Below are 25731 nucleotides of genomic sequence, written 5' to 3' on the forward strand. Positions count from 1 at the left end.
GGACAGTTAAAGAGTTCCCAGCATCAGATATGTCCAAAAGAAAAGCAAGTAAGATTAGCAAAGATACATGCCTTTTTCCCTCAGCAAAAAGCAATGAAGGTTGAGTCTCCCTTTAAAAATAAAAAATCGGATTATGAAGCAGTAACATTCAAAATCATATTATATTGAATTAAAAACAGGTAAACTGTTTAGTGGAATAGATTTCCTAGAAGTAGATATTAACAATGGTAACAAATCAATATAAGACTAGCCAGCAATAACACATCTATAGAAAAGTGTATTTTTTAAATAAAAAATGATCAAAATTATATTCATCTGAAGAAGAATTAGCACCCGCTATGCACTGTATATAATAAACTCCAGGTGGGTCAAATTAGGCTAAAATGTTTATTGTGGATATTTTCTTTTTAGTTTTATCTAACCATCAGTTTCCCTTTCCCTGACATAGCAATCCCATTGTAATTTCCTAGTGTGAAACTTCTCCCTGAGTATATATGTAATGTGGGTGGGAAGGTCAAGTTCTTTTACCATCTCCCACTTGAAAGCTGAAGGCCATTCACCCCTCTTCTCCCTGCCCAGTGCAGACAGTAGATGGGCACTTGACCTAAGCTCAGCCAACCCAGTGGTCACTCCTGGAACTTTGATTCTTAAACTGATACAAGGACAAAAGGAAAGAGTGGTTGGTCAGTTTCATCACACAGGCTGTTCCAATTACAAAACGACTGATGTCCTTTCAGTTTCTTGGTTCTTTAGAACTCCATGGTCCTTTCCCATGTTCAAGTATGTGTTCCCTCAGTCTCATAGCAATAATTCGCTTATATTAGCCAGAGCGAGATTTTTACTACAAGTTGAGTATTCCTTAACCAAAAGGTTTGGGACTAGAAGTGATTTGGATTTCAATTTTGGCAGGATTTTAGAATATTTGCATTATATGTTTACCAATTGAGCATCCCTAATTAAAAAATCTGAAATCCGAAATGTTCCAGTGAGCATTTCCTTTGAGCATCACTCTAAAATCCAAAACTTACTGAGCACCAGTGTGACGCTCAAAGGAAATGCTCACTGCAGCATTTCAGATTTCAGATTTTTGCATTAGGGAAATTCAACGTCTCAACCTGTGTATCCAGATGGAGACGGCAATTCCAAAGAACAAACTGAAGAGGAAGAGGGTATAGGAGGTGGATGATGGTGTCACAGTTCACCTGGAAATATCTTCTCTACAAGGAAAGGTGTTTTTTTTTTTTTTTTTTTTTTTTTTTTTTTTTTTTGTTGTTGTTGTTTTTTGAGACAGGGTCTCACTCTATCACCCAGGCTGGAATGCAGTGGTGCAGTCTCGGCTCACTGCAACCTCTGCCTCCTGGGGCTGAAGCGATCCTCCCACCTCAGGCTCCTGAATAGCTGGGACCACAGGGGTGCACAACCACACCTGGCTATTTTTTTTATTTTTTATTTTTTTGTGGAGACAAGGTTTTGCCATGTTCCCCAGGCTGGTCTTAAACTGAGCTCAAGCAGTCCGCCAGCCTTGGACTCCCAAAGTGCTGGGATTACAGGTGTGAGCCACTGTACTTGGCCAGGAAAGCATCCTGACAATGATCTGATGGTTTACATTTCTTCTGCTTGCTTCTCCCTGTGGGAGGCATATACCTCTCTATCTTTTTGCTTATTTTATTTTACATTTTTGAGACAGGGTCTCAGTCTGTTGCCCAGGCTGGAGTGCAATGGTGTGACCATGGCTCACTGCAGCCTCGCCCTCCTAGGCTCAAGCACTCCTCCCACCTCAGCCTCCCAAGTAGCTGAAACTACAGGTGCACACCTCCTCGTGTGGCTAATTTTTAATTTCTTTTTTTTTTTATAGAGATGGGTTCTCACTGTGTTGCCCAGGCTGATCTCAAACTCCTGGGCTCAAGCAATCCTCCTGCCTCGGCCCCCCAAAGTGCTGGGATTACAGGAGCCAGCCAGTGTGCCTAGCTCCTACCCCTTTAATGTTGGGTTGGCCACAACTTGATTGGCCAATAGAATGCCAGTGGATGTGATGGCTACCCTGTCTGAGCAGCCTTAGGAATGATTAGTCAATTTTGCTTCCAAAACATATTCTGTACTTTATCCACTCCATTGCATCCTACCAACATTAGCCAAATCTGAGATAATCTCTGTCAACTACTTCAATAACCTTCTAACTGTCTCCTGGCTTTAGTTGTGTACCTCTGAGAACCATCCTTCACACAACTGTCACACAACAATGTCAAATTAACCTTGTAAGGCCACAGATGAAAGCCTTCAATGGCTCCCTCTTTCCCACATGGCACTGGAAAGCTGTCATGACTTGTCTTCTACCTACCCCTTAAGCCTCATCCTTTGGCCTTCCCTGCTTCCCACTTTATGTTCAGCAACACTAAACACCCTGGACACTCCTCCATTCCTTTGTCCATTCTGTTCCTTTGTCCAGACTGCCCTCCTCTCTCTCCTAATTTTTGTCCAAATAACTTCTGTTTGACTCTCAAGATTCAGCTCAATATCAGTGCTCCCAGAAAGTCTTCCCTAGTACTTCCTGGGCATGTATTTGCCCTGTGCTTTCTTGGTACCAGCACACACCCCGGCACTTCCCCACCTTAAATTTAAATGATATATTCTGTCTTTTTCTCTTCCAATAGATTTGCCGTCTCCTGGAGGGCAGGGACTATATCTTATTTAGCTTTTGGTCCCCAGACTCTAGCCTGATGTCTGGCACACAGTAGGTGTTCAATACACATTAGTGGAGCTGAAATCGAACAAATTAAACATTAATATAAGCAAATTCTGAAAGCCTTCTGCCTCTATTCTTACAAAAGCTGGTGGCATTATAAATGGGTTCTTCTGGAAAGCAATATAGCACTATATAACAAAAACGATGAAGATGGTCATTCTCCTTGACTTGGTATTTTCCCGTTTGTGAATACTCCTCAAAGAAATAATCCAAAGGAAAAAAAATGTACACAGATGTCCTGGCAACTCTAGTTATAACAGTGAAAAACCTGGAAGCAATCCAAGTGTCTAACAGGGAAATGACTAAGCAAACAATGGGATTATTACATAGCTATTAAAAAATGACAGAGGTGAGGACTATGTCAACATAGACAAGTGTGTATCTATCTGCAGGAACGTTAAGTAGAAAAAAGAACACAGGCTAGTGTTTAAACACTAGTGATTAAGGATGTGTGTGTACATTAACAAAGATTGGAGGCTAATTTGGAGGAATGAAAATGGCTGGAGTGCAGTACTTGTTGAGTCTTTATTTTCCTGTGCAGTTCCATGAATTTTTGACAATAATACTTGAGATTCCATGCAATATAGATATCCTAGAGGTCTTCTGCAGAATAAGTATTCTAAGTTATACCAAGCTGTATAGTCCAAGAGAAAATTTTATGTTAAATTCTTATAAAATTGTTATAAAATAATGATATTTCTTTAAGTGAACAAAGCATTTTTCTTTAGTTAAATTCAACAAGCAACTATGAGAGCTTGACTATGTTCTAGAGCACTTACATTCTGGGGAAATTCAAAGAAATCATGGGCAAAAATCCTCAGGTGAATATGTGTTATTATTTTAATTTGCTTTTTTTTTTTTTGAGACAATGTCTGGCTCTATTGCCCAGGCTGGAGTGCAGTGGTGTGATCTCGGCTCACTGCAGCCTCACCTCCCAGGCTCAAACCATCCTCCCAGCTTAGCCTCCCAAGTACCAAGTAGCTGGGACTACAGGCACACACCACCGAGGCGCCTGCCTCAGCCTCCCGAAGTGCTGGGATTACAGGCATAAGCCACTGTGCCTGGCCGAATTTATTTTTATTTTGGTGAATGTACATATTAGAACAGATGACAAAGGAAAGTCTGCAAGACCTTTGGACTAAACCTCACATTTACAAGTTGTCTCAATTTTATTTTTTATTTCAATTTTATTTATTTATTTATTTTGATACAGAGTCTGGCTCTGCCACCCAGGCTGGAGTGCAGTGGAGCAATCTTGGCTCACTGCAACCTCTGCCTCCGGGGCTCAAGCGATCCTCCCACCTCCACCTTCCCAGTAGCTGGGACTGCAGGCACAGGCCACCACACACAGCTAATTTTTGTAGTTTTTGTAGAGATGGGGTTTTGCCATGTTGCCCAGGCTGGTATTGTATTCCTGGGCTCAAGTGATTCTTCCACCTCAGCCTCCCAAAGTGCTGGGATTGCAGGGTCACCATGCCCGGCCTGAATTTTATATTTTTGATGTCTCCAAAAGAGGTCCTATATTTAGTCACTGAGATATACAGTTAAGTATTAAAAGGAAAAAGTCATCATCACATAACTTTAAACTTGTGCCACTTTTCCACTTGGTGCACTATGAATTAATATTTTATAAATCCTGTGACTATATTGTGAATAGCAAAATACTGACATAAGATATATTACATTGCAATTAAAAGAAATAAGCCACAATTTTTTATATTCCATTATAGAATTTCTTCATTTTTAAAAATCAACTGAGAGGCTAGGCACTGTGGCTCACACCTATAATTCCAGCACTTTGGGAGGCCGAGGCGTGTGGATCACCTGAGGTCAGGAGTTCAAGACCAGCCTGGCCAACATGATGAAACCCCGTCTCTACTAAAAATACAAAAAATTAGCCAGGGGTGGTGGCAGGCACTTGTAATCCCAGCTACTTGGGAGGCTGAGACAGGAGAATTGCTTGAACCTGGGAGGCGGAGGTTGCAGTAGGCTGAGATCGCGTCATTGCCTAGGCAACAAGAGCGAAACTCCGTCTCAAAAAAATAAAAAATAAAATAACTGAGAGTCTCAAAAAATGGAGGTGGCCCAGTCCTCTGAAAGGCCTTGAGCGTAATTATCACTTTATCTTTTTTTTTTTTTTTTTTTGAGACGGAGTCTCGCTCTGTCGCCCAGGCTGGAGTGCAGTGGCATGATCTCTGCTCACTGCAAGCTCCACCTCCCGAGTTCACGCCATTCTCCTGCCTCAGCCTCCCGAATAGCTGGGACTACAGGCGCCTGCCACCATGCCCGGCTAATTTTTTGTATTTTTGGTAGAGACGGGGTTTCACCATGTTAGCCAGAATGGTCTCGACCTCCTGACCTCATGATCTGCCTGCCTCGGCCTCCCAAAGTGCTGGGATTACAGGCGTGAGCCACCGCGCCCGGCATACTTTATCTTTAAAATGTAATAGTTTTAAGTAGGGGCCTAAAGCAAATGGGTTGTTGATAACTGTATAAACACCTCCTAACATAGTCCTTTCCGCTAGACTTACTGTTTCTGCTGCCATGTAACTGGTGGTCAGAAAACTACCAGTTCTGGCTGGCCATGGTGGCTCACGCCTGTAATCCTAGCACTTTGGGAGGCCGAGGTGGGCAGATCACCTGAGGTCAGGAGTTTGAGACCAGTTTGGCCAACAATGTGAAACCCCATCTATACTAAAGATACAAAAATTAGCTGGGCATGGTGGTGCGTGCCTGTAATCCCAGCTACTTGGGAGGCTGAGGCAGGAGAATCGTTTGAACCTGGAAGGCGGAGGCTGCAGTGAGCCGAGATCGCACCACTGCACTCCAGCCTGGGCAACAGAGCAAGACTCCGTCTCAAACAAACAAACAAACAAACAAACAAACAAACAAACACTACCAGTTCCTAGAGCAGTGGTTCACAAACCTGGCTGCAGGTAGGAATCACCTGTATTCTCCCAGATCCCACTCCAGACCTCTTGAATTAGACTCTCCAGGGCTGGGGCCTGAAGATTCCTATGCTTAAAAAGCTCTTTCTCGTCCTTCCTACACTGAATTTCCTCATGGTTCGAGGACTCAGAATTCAAACTAGTACAGCTAATGCCGCGGTTCAGCTGCATCAAGAGTTTAACACAGTGACAACTTGTCTCTACAAAAAGTCAAAAAATAAGGCAGGAGGATTGCTTGATCTCAGGAGGTCAAGGCTGCGGTGAGGCGTGATGGTGCCATTGCACTCCCACTTGAGTGACAGAGTGAGACCCTGCCTCAACAAAACAAAACAAAACAAAAAAAGAGTTGAACAGATCTGAAGGCTAGTTTGAAGGCCAACTACCATTTTCAGTGTAGTCTCTCTAGGGTGATGTGTTGGAAGTGCCCAACAAACAATTTAAAAGAGAAGTCTGAGGATGTGGTCCACAGATTTTTTTTTGTGGAAACTGACCACACAGAACTTTTGAACAAAATGCCTTCATTTGTTCCTAAAATTTGTTATTGTGTCTTTACTATATGAAATTAAACAAATGCTGGCTGGGCATGGTGGCTCATGCCTGTAATCCCAGCACTTTGGGAGGCTGGGGCAGGTGGATCACCCGGGGTCAGGAGTTCGAGACCAGCCTGTCCAACATGGCGAAACCCCGTCTCTACTAAAAATACAAAAATTAGCCAGGTGTAGTGGTGCACGCCTGTAATCCCAGCTTCTCGGGAGGCTGAGGCAGGAGAATTGCTTGAATCTGGGAGGCGGAGATTGCAGTGAGCTGAGATCATGCCACTGTACTCTAGCCTGGGCGACAGACTGAGACGCCGTCTCAAAAATAAATAAATAAATAAAAGTAAACAAATGCTGAATTGAATCGCTAAGTTCAAGTGTCAGTTCTTATAAACAAGGTGAAGTACCAGTTGGGTTTTTTGTTTGTTTGTTTGTTTGTTTTTGGAGACAGAGTTTTACTCCGTTACCCAGGCTGGAGTGCAGCGGTGTGATCTCGGCTCACTGCAACTGCTGCCTCCCAGGTTCAAGTGATCCTCCTGCCTCAGTCTCCTGAGTAGCTGGGACTACAGGAGCACGCCACCACACACAGCTGTTTTTTTTGTATTTTTAGTAGAGACGGGGTCTTACCATGTTGGTCAGGCTGGTCTCGAACTCCTGACCTCAGGTGATCCACCAGCCTTAGCCTCCCAAAGTGCTGGGATTACAGGGGTGAGCCACTGCACCCGGCCCCAGTTGGTTTTTTTTTGTTTTTTTTTTTTTTGCTTTTTTTTTGAGACAAGGTCTCTATCATCCAGGCTGTGTTGCAGTGGTACCATTATAGCTCACTGCAGCCTTGACCTCCTGGGTGCAAGTGATCCTCCTGCCTCAGCGTCCTGAATAGCTAGGACTACAGGTGTGAGTCACTATGCCCGGCCAATTTTTAAATTTTTTGTAAAGATGGGGTCTCATTATGTCAACCAGGCTGGTCTCGAACTCCTGACTTCAAGCGACCCTCCCTCCTCTGCCTCCCAAAGTGCTGGGATTATAGGCATGGGCCACCATGACTGGCCAAAGTACCAGGTTTTTATGGGCAGTAAAACTTTAGCCCAAACTGTCAATTAACTCAATTTTTTTTGCCTCCATAAAGAGGCAAATACAAAGAAAATGGGCTTTCAACACAGAGAAAAACAAATTCCAAGATATGGGCTGAGGTCAGTATACACGCTGTCTATTTTCCTCTACCTTCTGGTTCTTCATCCCACCTCTGTACTATGATATTGATGCTCTGAGGAAGACCCTGTATCCCAGCAATATTCCTCATCTATAAAATAAAGATTTAATTGTGTTCCTCTAAACCCAAAACACACAGGATGATGTCCAGGGAAGTTAGAGGAACATGTGTCAGCTGAAGAATCAGTGGTATGTTCCCTCTTGTCTACCTCCCCAATTCGCGCTGGCCCACATCCCATTTGGAGTGACCATGTCTATGGAGATAGAGGAGGATATTCTTCCACTTCTAACCTCAAAAGGACACACTGGAGGCATCTAGATTGAGGTTACAGCTATCCTTTGAGGAGCTGTAACAAGAATATTTGGAAGTGGACCAAATCTAGAATAATCAAGTTTGAAAGGACTATGGTTGTCCTTTCTGTTGCTACTGTTGTTATACTGTGTTGATAAATACAAAGTATAGTCATAAAGGTGGGGGATTTAATCATGTTCCAGAATGATACGGCTGTTAAGGCTTTCCAGGTAAGCCAGAGAGTTGAGATAATCCTTATTCAAGTGAGAAACGAATTTGGCCCTCCTTATCTGGAGGAGAGGGTTAGAAGGACGATGGATGGATTTGGGGACATGTAGTAGGACTGAATTCCTAGGCTGAGCTCCAACCACCTCTGAATGCCCCAGAGATATCTATGTTCCATCTGGTCTGGTCTGCAGCAAGTCCACAGAAGCTACATTCACTTTTCTGTGCTGAATTATCAAAATAATTGCCCTTCAGCCCATGCCTCATGACCCTGTAGACAGAATCCACTCATTTCCCTATCACATGGGCTACAATTGCTACTTCAAATGAAAACCTGGGAAGCCAATGCCCTATTGTGGTTGAAAGTGTACAATTAGCTCCTCATGCAGCCTGACCCCACTGATTTTTCTGATGCATGTGACCTGGAGTGTGCCCTTTCTGAGACCGCCAATGTCTTCTCCACAGCTGGAGATGCCCAAAACTGCACGCAGCACTTCCTGTGGGTGTGGCCTTGCATTCTTAGGACTGCAGGGTACCCGCTGCATGCCAAATGATCCCAGGCTCCAGCCACTCACAGATTCACAACGCTTTTAAAAATACAGCAGTGGAGTATGAGCGGCTATGTCAGATATGAGGGTTTTCCACCCCCTCCCTTTTCTTTTAAAATATGATTTTGTAATGGTGGCCTCAAGAAACACTATAATTGGTCAGCCTGGGGTGCGTTTGAAGGCCTTCTCTATCGCGTCATTAGCTATTCTCAGGAAAGGCAGGGTATCCCACTGGGAGAATGACAACACACTTGTTTCAAGTTAGGGAAGAGCCTGTGGTTCTCTTCCTGCGTTCAGGGGAAAGCGAACACACAATGTTCGTTTCCTAAATACGGGATGTGCTGTGCTGGCAGGTCATTTTCCACCATGTCACGTCCTTCTAGATGAAGGCAGCAGGGGTCATGACAGGAAATGGCAAATTCTCAGAATGAGACAAGGCTTTCCCAGGGCAGCCATTGGTTCTCTGGAACTATAAAGCACACTCATCCAGAAACAGCCTCAGATTTTACTTTCCTGGAGGCAGACAGAAGTGAATGGTAAGTGGGGAACCCTGAGGCATATATTCGGGATGACTTTTTCTCATTTTCTCTTTTCACCTGGAAAATTATCCCTGGTGGGTTGGATTATGGAAGCATGGAAGTAAAATTAAGTCCTGTGAATAAGGAGATGAGGATTCTAGACTGGGCTCTGTGAAGAATCAGCTGCTTCTAGAATCTGATGTCTGATGCAGGCAATTCTTCCAGATGAGAATGATTTCTGCCCTGATAGCTCAGTTTTGAAATGCTCTATTTCTATGGCTCATTTGCCACTTTTAAGAAGTTCCTAATAATGAAGAGTACAGTGGACATGAAGGTGGGAATCTGCAACTAGGATGAATATACTTTTCCCCCAAGATGTACAACTTGTTCGTATCTTTGTCAGTCATCTTCAGTTGGCTTCAACGTGGTAGAAGTTGTTGAACAAAAATTTTGGCCACTTTATTTTATTCAACCATTACTCATTTTTAAAAGAAAACTTTCATAACAAAGAGACATAATGGTATTAATTTAATGTGACTTAGTTTAAATCAAGCACCCAGCAAAGACTGATGTTTCTGAAGATCCAAGGAGCCCTAGTTAGAATAAACAGTGCAAATCTCATTTTAGGCTTGATTCTAAGAAAAGAGCCTGGAAGAATCACAAGCAGAAGAGTTGCTTCAGGCAAGCATCTAACTTAGATGTTTCTTCTGCTTGGTAGAAAATACGATTTTTGAGGTTTTGGTGAAGTCTTTTTCATTCATTAGAGAGAGAGAAAAGTGTGTTGCAAAACTCCTAGGATCCAATTTTCACATGATGAAAGGGCTTTGTAAACTGTACAACCCACCACTTACAAAGTGTTATCTTAAGTAGAGCAAAGGCCTCAGTACTGGAGAAGCCTTCTAATACCACGCCCCTCCCAGTTTAAATCTTATTTAACACATAGCTGATGAAGCCCATCGTTAACGTTCCCTGGGAGAGAAGCAGAAGATAGCATTATTCCTATTTCCATATGCAGAGATAAGGTCCTGAGAACTTGTGTGGCTCCCCCCGGATTCCAGAACAGGTCTTTGAGAACTCGTCTCATGATCCACTGGAAACAGACCCGTTCCCCTAGCGTGGCAGTGGCTGCTCCGCTGAACTCGTGCCAAGTTCCCGCTGGCGTCCGGGCAGCAGGGCGGGAGCGGCGGCTGGCACGGAGACTCCAGGCTGACCGCGTGTCTATGTCCCCGCAGGGAATGGAGAGGCCGGCGGCCCGGGAGCCGCATGGGCCCGACGCGCTGCGGCGCTTCCAGGGACTGCTGCTGGACCGCCGAGGCCGGCTGCACGGCCAGGTGCTGCGCCTGCGCGAGGTGGCCCGGCGCCTGGAGCGCCTGCGCAGGCGCTCCCTCGTAGCCAACGTGGCCGGCAGCTCGCTGAGCGCAACGGGCGCCCTCGCCGCCATCGTGGGGCTCTCGCTCAGCCCGGTCACCCTGGGGACCTCGCTGCTGGTGTCGGCCGTGGGGCTGGGGGTGGCCACAGCCGGAGGGGCCGTCACCATCACGTCCGATCTCTCGCTGATCTTCTGCAACTCCCGGGAGCTGCGGAGGGTGCAGGAGATCGCGGCCACCTGCCAGGACCAGATGCGAGAGATCCTGAGCTGCCTCGAGTTTTTCTGCCGCTGGCAGGGCTGCGGGGACCGCCAGCTGCTGCAGTGCGGGAGGAACGCCTCCATCGCCCTGTACAATTCTGTCTACTTCATCGTCTTCTTTGGCTCACGTGGCTTCCTCATCCCCAGGCGGGCGGAGGGGGACACCAAGGTTAGCCAGGCCGTGCTGAAGGCCAAGATTCAGAAACTGGCCGAGAGCCTGGAGTCCTGCACCGGGGCTCTGGACGAACTCAGCGAGCAGCTGGAGTCTCGGGTTCAGCTCTGCACCAAGTCCAGTCGTGGCCACGACCTCAAGATCTCTGCTGACCAGCGTGCAGGGCTGTTTTTCTGAGAACATCCTTTCCCCCTAATGACCGAGGCCAGCAAATCATCCTCATGGGATGCTCCAGAATTTGTAGCTCCCTTAGGAAAACACCAAGCTGGGTTAGGAGCCGAAGGCAAAGGATGAGAAAAACTGTTTTTGAAGTGGGCAGGTCCCCAAAGCCCTTCTTTTCCCATCACTGTGACATCTGCCTGGGCTTGAGTGCTACGGACTTTTCAGTCTTCCTAGTGGAAAAATGTGACCCAAAAACTCTTTTTCCTTTATCAAAAACTTTCTGTCTAAACACAGCTGGGCAGGCACTCCTGTTTTAAAGTTATTTCGGGGTCCCTGACCCTGCCCTGGTGGCTTGGCCTGAGACTGGAGAGAGTGCCATCCTCTGGGTCCTCTCCAAGTCCTACTAGTCTTTGAAGTCCTCAAAATGTGCGTGAGGAAGGCGTTTGCCTCTATTCCAGAATTTCTGATACAAAGAACTCCAGAATCCAGAGCAAATCAGCCCTTCTCTGAACGTTGTAGGATGGTTCAGAACCCAGAGAGGACCCTGGTGCTGATATCTCCTCCTCTTCCCTTTCCCCTCAGCTTACTTACTCCCAGATGCGGCCTGGGTATGAAGTAGGCCTTTCCTGAGTGGCTCCCAATCCAGTCCTCCAAGTACTCAGAGGGGAAGCCCGTGAAGCCGTCATCTAAGTCCTGCTCCCTCACATGAAGCTGAGGGCCAGATAGATGGAGCGACTGCCAACTTCATTTCCCGACATCATTGTGTTCAGAAGAGAGTGATGGGTTTTGAGTTAGACAGTCCTGGGCTTGAGACAGGCTTTGTCACTACTGTGTGAGTGTAGCCACCTAATCTCTCTGAGACTGTGTAAAACAAAGATGATAAAATCTCACCCTGTTGTGAGATATTAAATGAGCCAAAGTGCCTAGCATGATGGTGCTGGCTCATATAGTGTAGTCCCTGGAATGGCAAATTAACATCACCCAGGAACTTGTTAGAAAGGCAAATTCTTGGACACAACCCTCCTGATTTATGGAATCAGAAACTCTGGCTGTGGGGCCCAGCAACCTGAGTTTAAACAATTTCTCTGGGTGGTTCTGCGGCACACTAAGGTTTGAAAATCACTGCAACAAATGCTAACTTCTAATCCCCTTGATGAGCTTTCACGAAGTCTCACGGCTTCTCTAGGGACTCCATGGTCTTCAGAGTCGTTCACAGATGACCAAGGACAGACTGTGTCCCAGAAGCCAAAATGAGAGAGAGAGAGAGAGAGCACGCGTACGTGCACCCTGGGGCAGTGTCTCACCGTATGAACAAGGGATGTAACACTAAAAGCCCATTAGGGGGCAGTGTTTCCCGCCTGTTGTAGAAACTGGTACAGAAAGGAATATGAAGTTCCTGAAACTGACCTTTGTCTATTATTACCTTCTCTGAAAAGTGCCAGTCCATGTATTTTTTATTTATTTTAAGTTTGTAATTTAATTTTTAATTATTGTTTAGTGTTTGCATTTAATTTTATTTAATCACCACATTTAGAAAATAATAAGAGCAAGTTTCTAAATGGGAGACTGCTGAGGCTCTTTGCAAGAGATGAGATTAAGTTTGAGTTTCTAAGGCAGGGCATGAGCTGGAAATAGCATTGCTTTCCTTGATTGTCTCTCTCCTTCAGGGAGATTCTTTTTCTCTAGTGTTTTAAGTGATCCTTTGAAGTAAGTGTGGAGAGTCTTGAATGGCAAGACCAGGAGCTGAGTTTAAGCTTGTAATGGAAGCTTGCATTGTGGGATATATAACTGAGGAAGCATATTTATCCTGAAGGTATTTTGCCAGAAGGTATCACTTGACCTGGAAAAGGAATCTATTTAGTTCAGGAAAGATAAAAAGTTTAGAGGTATGTGAAGGAAGCACTTAGAACTTGCAAGCCTGATGTCCTATCAAGTTATGTCTTCTGGGTGACAGACAAAATCGCTTGTCTTATGGTGGTGATGTGTTGCATTTTCACTTTGGGGTCTGTAAGAAACTGTCAGTGAAAATATGTACAATTCCTTCAATTTCCATTCTTAACAACTGTAATGTTGAAAAATAAGTTGAAAAGTCTTTGGGACCATACATGCAAAAACGGTGCCTCTGTTACTTAATTATTTAATATTCTATAAATGTACCCAATCTGTCCGCACCCTTCCCAGTGATGGGGCAGTATGTCTGAGGAAGTATAATTTCAGTACTGGGGTCGGGGAGAGGAGGTGATGTTTCTACATTTTTATTTTTTCTATAAATTGCAATTGGTCTGTATGCTGGTTTATTTTGAAATTTATATTGGTTTCTTTTCAAGCTGGTGTCATCTCCTAGACTGTTTCACCCAGATGCTAGCATTTTTTTTTTTTTTTTGAGACAGAGTCTCACTCTGTCACCTAGGCTGGAGTTGCAGTGGTTTGATCTCGGCTCACTGCAACCTCCGACTCCTGGGTTCAAGCAATTCTTCTGCCTCAGCCTCCTGAGTAGCTGGGATTACAGATGTGCACCAGCACACCCGGCTAATTTTTTGTATTTTTAGTAGAGACAGGGTTTCGCCATGTTGGCCAGGCTGGTCTTGAACTCCTGGCCTTATGTGATCCGCCCACCTTGGCTTCCCAAAGTGCTGGGATTACAGGCATGAGCCACCTCGCCTGGCCAGATGCTAGCATTTTAGATCAAACAATTCATTTTAGATGAATTGTTTTGTTTCACAATCATTTTAAATCATTTTAGAATGTACTTCACATTATTAGTTGTGTTATGGCATAAAGGTACAACCATTCCCTAACTCCATCTTTTATTAATGCTTAAGTTTAAATTATATTCTTCCAATGCCTAAGCTATTCCCTAGAATTAAACTGGGCACTTTTGGAAGCAGCAACAGTAACAGCAGCAGCAAACTTTTCCTCTCATATTTTGGGTGTATCAAAAGTTCTAGACTTTTGAAGTTATGATTTCAGTGGCCCACTTTATTTCTAAGGAAGAGTGTCTACTTTGGAACGATACTTTGCACATAGTAGGAACTCAAGAAATACATTTGAATAATTATAATTAACTGTTTAGCTATCTTAATGAGAATTTGTTGACAACAAAAGATCATCCATCGCCTTATGTGTGAGTAAGATTGGAGCCTCTATCAAGATTTAGTCAAGTTCAGTTAGATTGATTCTAGAAACAAATATTTATTTCTTTCTTTTACGGGGATGTGAATAAGGCTTTTCCTTAAGGCCTTCATTCTTTAAACAAACAGGTTGAAATGGTATGTTGTAAAAGAGAAGACGGGAGAGAGGTATTTAGATGATAAGTGTACTTCACAAAAATGCCAAAGTTTGAAAAATAGGTATGTTTGTTCTAAATGTTTAAGTGCTTCTCTGTTAGGTTCTGGGGCTTGCAATCATTTGAATTGTTCTGTTTCACAATAAAGGAGATTCACTGGGTTCTGCATTTTCAGGATTCAATAGAACTGCTCCATTAAAAAAATAATCCTTAGCAAGCATTCGAATCCTAACTGCTTTGATGCACTTGCCCTCGGGCACCTGTCATTTCCAATATGGTAGGTGTCAAAGTCAAAAGTATTTACTGGGAGAAAAAAGAGAGGAGTGGTTGTAGAAGTCTCCCTAAATCAGACATGTCAAGCAATCAGCCAACGTGGTGTATTTCTCATTCAATATTTTAGTGTGAATTGAGACACTGAGATAAAGACATCGTGCAGAGATAAATGGGGATACAGTTAAATGTAGCAACTCTTGAGTTCATTTTTTCCCACTGTAGCAAAATTAATGCTTTCTCTTTATTGAAATAAATTGCTCATTCCTCAAATTTTTTTATCTTTCTGTAATTAATTTCCTAGTTCTATGTTTCCTTGTGTATGAATTAGTAACTTTGAAAAAGGGCAGATGTTTAATCATTTTCACTTAGAATATTCAGATCAAACTATATGAATCATTTTTTTTTAATAATCAATGCATACACAGGAATTCCCTTTTGCCTAGAAATCAGACTTCCAGCAGTCTCAAAACCTTTGAACATAATTACAACCTGGGAAGGAATTGAAAGGAAACCTAGAATCAGCCAAATTAGCCTTCACAACATCCAAACACTAAAGAGAGGTGGGCAGGGAGGGTGAAGGGCAGCATGTATATCAGGAAAGAAAACTTTCCCGTAAATCTCTGAGGGACTTCACCTTGCAAGCCACCGATCTTGACCATGCAAGGCAGGCTGGGAAATGTAGTATTTTTAGCTGAGAACAACGCTGCCCCTAATATACCTAAGATTCTCTTGGTAAGAAAGAAAAGGAGGGTGATCATTAAGTAGGGGGTCCAGCAATTTAAACAAAAAGCCTATTGTGGTTGCGGCAGCCAGTTGGGGACGACTACTCTGGAGACGACCTCACTATCTCAGTGCCAGCTGCACCTTGGAAACATTCCTGGGTCTGGAGGCTGCACTGTTAATAACTGTACAACCAAAAAAGGCTGTGTTGGCAGGCCCCTGACTGTTTGCAGAGGCCAGCCGCAAGCTGGGATCCTATCTTTGCTGAAGCATATGGTATTCCTGTAGTAACAAGTGTCCTTTTAGTTAATTGCAATAAATCTCTTGTTGAGTTGACAGGAGGTTGGGATGTTACTTTTTGCTCCTGGCAAACTCATAAGAGGGAAAGTAAACCCTGCTGTGGTCTGGAATAGGACAAAGAGTGAGCCCTTAGATCTGAAAACAATCTCTTAGCAACCAGAGAGCTGTTAGGAGAGGGGAAATCGTGCTGATGAAGCGAGACCCATCGTCCAGGAATGCACATTAGGGGTCCTCAGCACCCCCAAACCTGACTAGCATTAGCACCGGGTTGTGGAGAGAAGGCCCTCTAATGTGGTCTTTGCCTGCACGCATAGAGATTATCTATATGAAGCTACATCTGCAGAAAATGATGTTTAATCCAATTTTGTATTTACACTAAAACCCCAGAGGTGGGAGGACAGGCAGGCCTGTGACCTGATTCCCCCTGAGCTTTAGCCATGGGTCACGGCCAAGGCATCTGCCTCCCTTACACACAGGAGCAGCCAGATCCTGGCCTCCTCCAGCATTTGTGTGAATACGGTTGCCAAATTCACCAAAATAATTATAACTGGGAGAAGCTACACAAAAAGGGTAGGGGTGATGTCTAAAGTCTTTCTTTTAGGCGAAACTTCTTTTTCTACGCTCCCCGGTTGATAAGCAGACATTTCTTTCTGCCCTCACTTTTTATTAAAACTGCACTCTCAAAATATCATTTAAAAACAATATTTTTTTCAGTGCTTAAATAAAATGACATTTCAATAATATTGAACATACATGTGGGATATTTAACAATAACAATAGCTAACATTTATTGAGAACTCACTAGATACTCTTCTAAGTACGATTTGACCTGTATCATTTCATTTACCTTACAAAAATCTTATGGTGTGCACACTATAATTACCCTATATTATTAGATAAAGTAAGGAATTTGAGAGGTTGCATTGCCAGCATGAGGTGCCCCAGAATTTGAATTCTGGCAGCCTGACTCCAGAGTTATGCTCTTAGCTATTCTTTTCCTTTTTTTTTTTTGGAGTCTTGCTCTGTCACCCAGGCTGGAGTCCAGTGGCATGATCTCAGCTCACTGCAACCTCCGCTTCCTGGGTTCAAGCGATTCTCCTGCTTCAGCCTCCTGAGTAGCTGGGATTACAGGCGCCCACCACCATGCCCAGCTAATTTTTGTGTGTGTGTGTATTTTTAGTAGAGATGGGGTTTCACCATGTTGGCCAGGCTAGTCTTGAACTCCTGACCTCAAGTGATCCACACACCTTGGCCTCCCAAAGTGCTGGGATTACAGGCATGAGCCGCTGTGCCCATCCAATGCTCTTGGCTTTTCTGATTTTTTTTTTTTAGACGGAGTTTTGCTCTTTTCGCCCAGGCTGGAGTACAGTGGCATGACCTCAGCTCACTGCAACCTGTGCCTCTCGGGTTCAGGCGATTCTCCCACCTCAGCATCCTGAGTAGCTGGGATTACAGGCGCCCACCACCATGCCTGGCTAATTTTTGTATTTTTGGTAGAGACAGGGTTTTGCCATGTTGGCCAGGGTGGTTTTGAACTCCTGGCCTCAGGTGATCTGCCCATCTCAGCCTCCCAAAGTTCTGGGATTACAGGTGTGAGCCACTGCGCCTAGCCAATCCTAGCACCTTGGGAGGCCGAGGCAGGTGGGTTGCTTGAGTCCAGGAGTTAGAGACCAGCCTGAGCAACATGGTGAGACCTCATCTGTACAAATAATTTTTAAATGAGCTGAGTGTGGTGTTGCACACCTATAGTCCCAGCTTCTCAGGAGGTTGAGGTGGGAGGATCACTTAAGCCCAGGAGGTCGAGGTTGCAGTGAACCGTGATTGGGCCACTGCACTCCAGCCAGCCTGGGGAACAGAGCAAGAACCTGTCTCAAAAAAAATAAAAACATCTCCTGGCAGTAACAGTCTCATCTAGGATGAGTAATCTTATGCCAGTAGGCTAGTCAATAAGAAAAAAATAAAATATAGCTTTGCAAGTCACTAGTATTTATAATAAACAGTGTGGGTGTGATTTGAAAGTTATAAAACTTTTGCTCTGATCATAAAAACCTATGTATGGGTTTTTATGGTGGCTGGGCACAGTGGCTCACACCTGTAATCCCAGCACTTTGGGAGGCTGAGGTGGGAGGATCAACTGAGGTCAGGAGTTCAAGACTAGCCTGGCCAACATGGTGAAACCCCGTCTCTACTAAAAATACAAAAATTAGCTGGGCATGGTGGCAGGCACCTGTAATCTCAGCTACTCGGGAGACTGAGGCAGGAGAATCGCTTGAACTCAGAAGACAGAGGTTGCAGTGAGCTGAGATCACGCCACTGCACTCCAGCCTAGGCGACAGAGCAAAACTCTGTCTCAAACAAAACAAAACAAAGCCTATTTACAGAATAATATTTTGTGATGCTCCCCCAAATCTCCCAAACATGGCAAAATTCTGGTGAACAAAACACCTGAAGAGGAAGGACATGATTTATAAGAACTTTTTGCTAACTGTAGATGCGCTGGAACTGAAGTTATCAGTAGAGATGACACAGACATGAATGAAGGAATTACTGGTCGAACAGGCCTATCTAGATCTGATTTTAAAACCTCAAAAAATGAAACTTCTTGGGGTCATTCCATTGAAACTACTACTGACCCTGCTTGTCAAATTTCTTCCTGTTGGGGTGTGTACTCAATTGCAGTCTAGTAGCTTATGGACTAAAAGTGTTGGAGGTATGTGGGTGAGTAGATAGGTATGAATAGGAATAAGATGTTGGGTATCATAAACTATTCAAAATCATAATGCTTTGTGGTTGATTTGAATTTAACATTGTCCCCTGAGGTTTTGCATAGCAAACACAGTTATTTAATTTTAATTCTTTCTAACTTCTCTGTAGCATTTGACTTTGCTGAATACCCAATTCTTTTTCTTTTCTTTTTTTTTTTTTTTTTGAGACGGAGTCTCGCTCTGTCACCAGACTGGAGTGCAGTGGTGCGATCTCGGCTCACTGCAACCCCCACTTCCCGGGTTCAAGTGATTCTCCTGCCTCAGCCTCCCAAGTAGCCGGGACTACAGGCTCGTGCCACCACGCCCGGCTAATTTTGTATTTTTGGTAGAGACGGGGTTTCACCGTGTTGTTCAGGATGGTCTCGATCTCTTGACCTTGTGATCCACCTGCCCCGGCCTCCCAAAGTGCTGGGATTACAGGCGTGAGCCACTGCGCCTAGCCAAATACCCAATTCTTAAAGCACCCTTTTTCTTGAATTCTGTGACACCAGCCTTTCTTATTTAGTTTCCTTGACAGCTTTTTTTTCTCCTCCAGTCTTAAGGTTCAAGTTTCCCTGAGCCTCAGACCCAGGCTGCCATTCCCCTGACCTTGTCACACAGCCCTTCACTGAGCATGTTCGTTTCCAGGGTCTCACCCGTCCTGGACTGGATGTTGGTATGGATGAAACCAGCTCCACGGCCGGGCGCGGTGGCTCACGCCTGTAATCCCAGCACTTTGGGAGGCCGAGGCGGGTGGATCACGAGGTCAGGAGATCGAGACCATCCTGGCTAACGGTGAAACCCTGTCTCTACTAAAAATACAAAAAATTAGCCGGGCGTGGTGGCGGGTGTCTGTAGTCCCAGCTACTCAGGAGTCTGAGGCAGGAGAATGGTGTGAACCTGGGAGACGGAGCTGGCAGTGAGCCGAGATCGCACCACTGCACTTTAGCCTGGGTGACAGAGCAAGACTCTGTCTCAAAAAAAAAAAAAAAAAAGAAACCAGCTCTAAAGGATTCTTTGGGGTCAAGTTGAATTTGGTGGGTATTATGTCAAATGAAAACAAATGAAATCATTGTCTGAATGAAAAAGGTTGCAGGAAGAGTGCACCAAAACAAAAGCCCTATCTGCGTTCCTACTATGCCATTCCTCTCATTGAAGTTCTATACCTGACTCCAGCCAGATGCAGTCTTGCTCTAATCTGAATGTCTAAGAGCAATCTGTGTGTCTCTTATGCAGACGTATCACTTGATACATTTTATTAAATATATATGTGCCTACCCCAAGGCTCTTAAGGACAGAAACCACATCACAGATATTGTTAAATCTCCCAGTGTCTCTTCAGCTCCCGCCACAGGAGATGCCCAGTAGCATTTATTGACTGAACAAGCACAGTTTATCCTCATGGATATGCTGGCATTCCTTCTCAGAACATCTGAAGCTAAATTTATCTGTAAAACTGGCCCAGTTTCACAACTCTTCTACTTCTACCAAAGGCAACATCAGTCTACCAGTGGCCTACCCGGAAATATCATCATCTCCAAATCTTCCCCTTTCTTACTTCTCTGATATACTTTTCTTTTCTTTTCTTTTCTTTTTTTTTTTTTTGAGACAGGGTCTCCCTCTCTCACGTGGGCTGGAGTTCAGTGGTGCGACCATGGCTCACTATAGTCTCAACCTCCCACTGTGATCCTCCCACCTCAGCCTCCAGAGTAACTGGGACCATAAGTGCTCACCACCATGCCCGGCTAATTTTTGTATTTTTAGTAGAGACGGGGTTTTGCCATGTTGCCCAGGCTGGTCTCGATCTCCTGAACTCAAGCAATTCGACTGCCTTGGCCTCCCAAAGTGCTGGGATTATAGGCATGAACTAACACTCCTGGCCACTCTAATATATTTTTGCCAAAGTATTTCCTTCCCATTAAATGTCTCTGCCATCCATTTTGATCCAACCCACTGCTATCACAACCATCTAGGCTTTACCTCCTAATACCTGCAATGACCTTCAAGCTGTTTCTTCCTGATTCCAACTTCTTTCTGCTCAGATTCACACCATACTTCAATCCTTGATTCATTTACATAACTCCCAGATTTCTTTATATTCCAATCAAATGGAACATGACCTTATCTAAACCTTGACTCTGAATTTGAGTACACAGCCCAGAGAACTGCTGAGTTCCTGTGGTTTTGGCTGTGACGGATAATACCATGAAGGGCTAACAGGAACTCAATTCTGTGGTTATTTATTCATTCATTTATTTTTATTTATATTTATTATATTTATATTACTTATTTTTATAGTATTATTATATTTATTTATTTATTATTTTTATTATTTATTTTTGAGATGGAGTCTCGTTCTCCCAGGCTGGAGTTCAGTGGCATGATCTCAGCTCACTGTAACCTTTGCCTCCCGAGTTCAAGCAATTTTCCTACCTCAGCCTCCTGAGTAACTGGGATTATAGGCACTTGCCACGATGCCCAGCTAATTTTTGTAATTTTAGTAGAGACAGAGTTTCACCATGTTGGCCAGGCTGGTCTTGAGCACCTGACCTCAGGTGATCCACCTGCCTTGGCCTCCCAAAGTGCTGGGATTACAGTCGTGAGCTACTGCACCTGGTCTAATTCTGTGGTTTTTAATGAGAAAACGATGTTGTAGTCTAGTGACTTTCAAAACAGGCTGAGTCAGGAAGAAAAGGTCCCAGGGTGGTGGTGCAGGGAAGCCTCGAGAGGGGAGGAATGGGGAAAGCAGAGAGAGACAAACAGGAGTCGGCAGGTCACGTCATCACTAGGTGAATTTCCTCCATGAAATTGAAGGCCTAGTGCTTCTGACTGACTTGGAGAGAGGACTTGGACCACCACACACCACCAAGGCAAACTGGCTGTACGACCTTTAATGATGGGAAACAAGAGCAGAGAAAAGGCAGTTGCATATTGAACCTGATATCTTCCCTCCAAACGCTCTTCAACATGTGCAGTTGTCATAGAAACCCAAGCCCGGCCCTAGGCTGGCCCCAACTCCCTTGTTAATGCTGTAGGGTTTGTAACTGAATCAAAAATGTATGGTGGTGACAATGAACTTCCTGACCTTAGAAGAGCTTTCCTCACCAGACTGACCTCCTTTATGATGTTATCTTAAGAGGGGAAGACTTCAGAGTTATCTGGGGCACCATGTTCCATCTCCCCAGCATGGCCAGTTCTAAAAGCTTTCTAATCAAGTTGGTAATCCACACTGACCTCTCAGAAGAGGACAGGCTGGAAACGGTGGCTCACACTTGTAATCCCAACACTTTGGGAAGCCAGAGGGGAGGATCACTTGAGCCTAGGAGTTTGAGACCAGCCTGGGAAACATAGCAAGACAAAAATAGACTCTACAAGACCTACAGAAAAATAGAAAAAAAGCCAGGTGTGGTGGTGTGCACCTGTGGTTCCAGATACTTGGGAGGCTGAGGTGAGAGGATTGCTTCAGCCCAGGATGTCTTGGCTGCAGTGAGCTGTGATTGTGCCACTGCACTCCAGCCTGGGCAACAGAGGAAGACCCTGTCTCAAAAATAAATAAATAAAAAGAAGAGGATTGGACTAGAAGACACCATTTCCTGTGGTGTGAAGGAGCTATTAAGGGAGACATTTTTTGTTTGGTGATTTACAGTTAGACCTTGTCCTCACATTCAAGTTGGACCTTGTCCTCACATCCCTGCTTCATACGTAGAAAGTTGTTGGGTCTCTTCTCTTTCCCAAGAATGAGCAATCTTGGCCTAAGGTAATAACCTGTCTCTAGAAGCTCAAGTTAGTGTCCTACTTCTTTTATACACAAACATGTGATCTTTCCACATCACAACTGTGGCCTCATCTTTCCTTTTCTTCATCCCTTCCCAATACACACCCACAGACACACAGATATTCATTTATTCAACAAAAGATTTATTGAGCACTCACTCAATACCTATATGCTAGGTATTTTTCTAGGCACCTAGCATAGAGTAGTCAAATATCTCTGCCATGAGGGAGTTCGTATCTATTGATGGTAGAGAATGCAGACAAAAAAAAAAAATGAAGAAGCAAATATCAGCCAAGCATGATGGCTCATACCTGTAATCCCAGCACTTTGGGAGGCAGAGGTGGAAGGATTTCTTGAGGCCAGGAGTTCGAGACCAGCCTGGGCAACATAGTGAGACCACATCTCTTAAAAAAAAAAAAAAAAAAAAGAGAAGCAGCAGAAGAAAAAGTAGATATCTAGTTTGTGAGATGGTATATATATTTTTCCTATAACTTCTGTAAAAAATTACCAAAATTTTAGTGGCTTAAAACAACACAAATAATTTATTATCTCACAGTCAGAAGTCTGATGCAATTGTAGCTCAATGGGCTAAAATCCAGCAGTCGGCAGGGCTATCCTTTTTCCTAGAGGCGATAAGGGAGAGCGTGTTTTCTTGCCTTTTCCACCTTCTAGAGGCTCCTGCATTCCCTGGCTTGTGGCCCCTTCCTCCATCTTCAAAGCCTGCAATGATGGGTTGAGTCTTCTCACATTGCATCGCTCTGACATCTTCTTTTGCCTTTTCTTCCACTTTTCAAGACCCTTTTGACTACATTGGGCCCATTCAGACAATACAAAATAATCTCCTTATTTTAAGGTCAGATGATTAGCAACCTTAACTCTATCTGCAACCTAATTCCCCATTGCCATGTAAGATAACATGTTCACGCATTCCAGGGATTAGGATATGTGCATCCTTGGGGGCCATTGTTATTGTTTCCCACATGTTGATAAGTGCCATGGAGAAAAACAAAGCAGGGACAAGGGAGAGGGAGTGCTGGGGGGGAGAGGGGCTGGAAGTCCTTAATGACAAGGGATGTTTGAGTGAAGAGCTGAAGTTGGTGTTGGAGAGAGCCACGAGGGTATCTGAGTGTTCCAGGCAGAGGAAACGGAGAGTGCAAAGGCTCTGAGGCAGAAGCATGACCGCTATGTTATTTTGGTGTTTTTTTTTTTTTTTTTTTTTAGATAGAGTCTCACTCTCTGTCGCCCAGGCTGGAGTGCAGTGGCACCATCTTGGCTCACTGTAACCTCCAGCTCCTGGGTTCAAGCAATTCTCCTGCCTCAGCCTTCTGAGTAGCTATGATTATAGGTCCACGCCACCAGGCCTGGCTAATTTTTTGTATTTTTAGTAGAAACGGGGTTTCACCATGTTAACCAGGCTGGTCTCAAACTCCTGACCTCAGGTGATCCACCCACCTCCCAAAGTGCTGGGATTATAGGCATGAGCCACTGTGCCCAGCCATTTTTTGTATTTTTAGTAGAGATGGAGTTTTGCCATGTTGGCCAGGCTGGTCTTGAAGTCCTGGCCCCAACTCTTGGCCTCAACTCCTGGCCTCAAGTGATCCACTTGCCTCAGCCTCCCAAAATGCTAGGATTATAGGCGTGAGCCACCACGCCCAGCTGACTTATGTTTTCAAAGGACCCCTTTCTGCTATGTTGAGAATTGACTGTTGAGAGGTAAGAATCAAGGCAAGAAGACTAGTTAGGAGGCTACTGCCATGACCCAGGTCAGAAATGTTGGTAGCTGAGAGTGGAGAAAAGTAGTCAGATTCCAGATGTATGATGAAAGTAGACCTGCAGGACTTGTTGACAGATTGGGTGTGGGAGGTGTAAGAGAGGAGTCCTGGCTTGAGTAATTTAGAAGGATGACATGGCTATTTCCTGATGTGGGGAAGACTGTGGGAGAAACACGCTGGGGAGGAGTGGAGTCAGGAGTTGAGTTTTAGAGGTATTAAGTTTGAGATTCCTGACATATACCTGTAGGCAGCTGAATATATGAGTCTGGAACCCAAGGAAGGACTTAGAAGGGAGATATCAATTGGAGAATCCTGAGCAAGTAGGTGGTATTAAAAATCATGAGACTGGATGTGGCCACTAAGAGATGAGTGAAAGTAGGGAATATAGAGAATAGGTCCGAGGATTCAGCCCTGGGTACTCTGACATTTAGGGTGGGGAGTGGGTGGGAATGAGGAAGTACTAGCTAGGAAGACTGAGAAGGAGTGGCCAGCAAGACAGGAGAAAAACCAGGAGTCTCCAGTGTATTGAAACCCACGTCGGCTGGGCGCGGTGGCTCATGCCTGTAATTCTAGCACTTTGGGAGGCCGAGGCGGGTGGATCACTAGGTCAAGAGATTGAGACCTTGGGAGGCCAAGGCAGGCGGATCACAAGGTCAGGAGTTCAAGAGCAGACCGGCCAAGATAGCGAAACCCCATCTCTATTAAAAATACAAAAATTAGCCGGGAGTGGTGGCGTGTGCCTGTAATCCCAGCTACTCGGGAGGCCAAGACAGAGAATTGCTTGAACCCAGGAGACGGAGGTTGCAATGTGTCAAGATTGCGCCACTGCACTCTAGCCTAGGTGACAGAGTGAGACTCCATCTCAAAAAAAAAAAAAAAAAAAAAGAGAGAGAGAGAGAGAGATCGAGACCAGCCTGGATGGTGAAACCCCATCTCTACTAAAAATGCAAAAGTTATCTGGGCATGATGGTACATGCCTGTAGTCCCAGCTACTCGAGAAGCTGAGGCAGGAGAATTGCTTGAACCCAGGAGGTGGAGGTTGCAGTGAGCCAGGATTGTGCCACTGCACTCCAGCCTAGTGACAGAGTGAGACTCCGTCTCAAAAAAAGAAAGAAAGAAAGAAACCCAAGTCAAAAGGATTTTTTAAGGAAGGGGCAGTTGGATGCTGCTAAGGAATCAAGTAAGATGAAGAATGAGAATTGACCATTGGATTTAGCACATGGGGGTCTTAAAGGAAAGTTTCCATGGAAATAGTATGGGCAAAAGCCTTACTCAAGTGGATTCAAGAGACAGGAATTGGAGGCAGCCTACATAGACAACTCATACAAAGAGTTGGCTGTCAAGGAAACAGAGAAGTGGGCAATAGCTCTAGGGAGATGTGGCGTCATCAGAATTTTTTTTTTTTTTTTTTTTTTTTTTTTGAGAAGAAGTCTCCCTCTGTCGCCAGGCTGGAGTGCAATGGCGTGATCTCGGCTCACTGCAACCTCTGCCTCCCAGGTCAAGCAATTCCCCTGCCTCAGCCTCCTGAGTAGCTGGTACTACAGGCTCACGACACCATGCCCAGCTAATTTTTGTATTTTTAGTAGAGACGGCGTTTCACCATGTTGTCCAGGATGGTCTCGATCTCTTGACCTTGTGATCCGCCCGCCTCGGCCTCCCAAAGTGCTGGGATTACCGGCATGAGCCACCATGCCCGGCCCCATCAGAAATATTTTTTAAGATAGGAAGAAATAATAGCATGTATAGATGCCGTGGGAATCATCCAGTGGAGAGAGAAACATTCATGGGTCAGGAGAGAACATAGAGACTTTAGAGGAATGTCCTTGATAAAGTAAGAAGGGGTGAGATTTAGCCCAGGTGCTCATGTGGAGGGTTGGCTGC

The 25731-nt window shown here is 44.6% G+C and overlaps 1 protein-coding gene across 2 annotated transcripts in view, besides 2 other annotated features; it reads left to right on the forward strand.

Annotated features, from left to right (window-relative positions):
• The window catches only part of APOLD1 (apolipoprotein L domain containing 1), a 65550-nt gene extending 50741 nt beyond the window's left edge, over window positions 1-14809 (forward strand). The window contains exons 1-2 of one of the 2 annotated variants that reach the window (NM_030817.3): window positions 9002-9037; window positions 10252-14809. In NM_030817.3, coding sequence (NP_110444.3) covers window positions 9035-9037; window positions 10252-10995 — 747 coding nt within the window. In that variant the 5' untranslated portion in view covers window positions 9002-9034 and the 3' untranslated portion in view covers window positions 10996-14809. Of the gene's footprint in view, window positions 1-9001; window positions 9038-10251 lie in introns of those variants that run through there. The other variant, NM_001130415.2, reaches the window with a different exon arrangement.
• Window positions 10289-10388: a silencer, noted in NCBI's record as "silent region_4267". NCBI's record gives its function as "represses an Ori minimal core promoter by ATAC-STARR-seq in GM12878 lymphoblastoid cells {active_cell/tissue: GM12878}" and the evidence as "EXISTENCE:reporter gene assay evidence [ECO:0000049][PMID:35858748]".
• Window positions 10419-10528: a silencer, noted in NCBI's record as "silent region_4268". NCBI's record gives its function as "represses an Ori minimal core promoter by ATAC-STARR-seq in GM12878 lymphoblastoid cells {active_cell/tissue: GM12878}" and the evidence as "EXISTENCE:reporter gene assay evidence [ECO:0000049][PMID:35858748]".
• Window positions 14810-25731: the final 10922 nt, after the last annotated feature.

This window comes from Homo sapiens, chromosome 12, assembly GCF_000001405.40.
Source record: "Homo sapiens chromosome 12, GRCh38.p14 Primary Assembly".
NCBI lineage: Eukaryota > Metazoa > Chordata > Mammalia > Primates > Hominidae > Homo > Homo sapiens.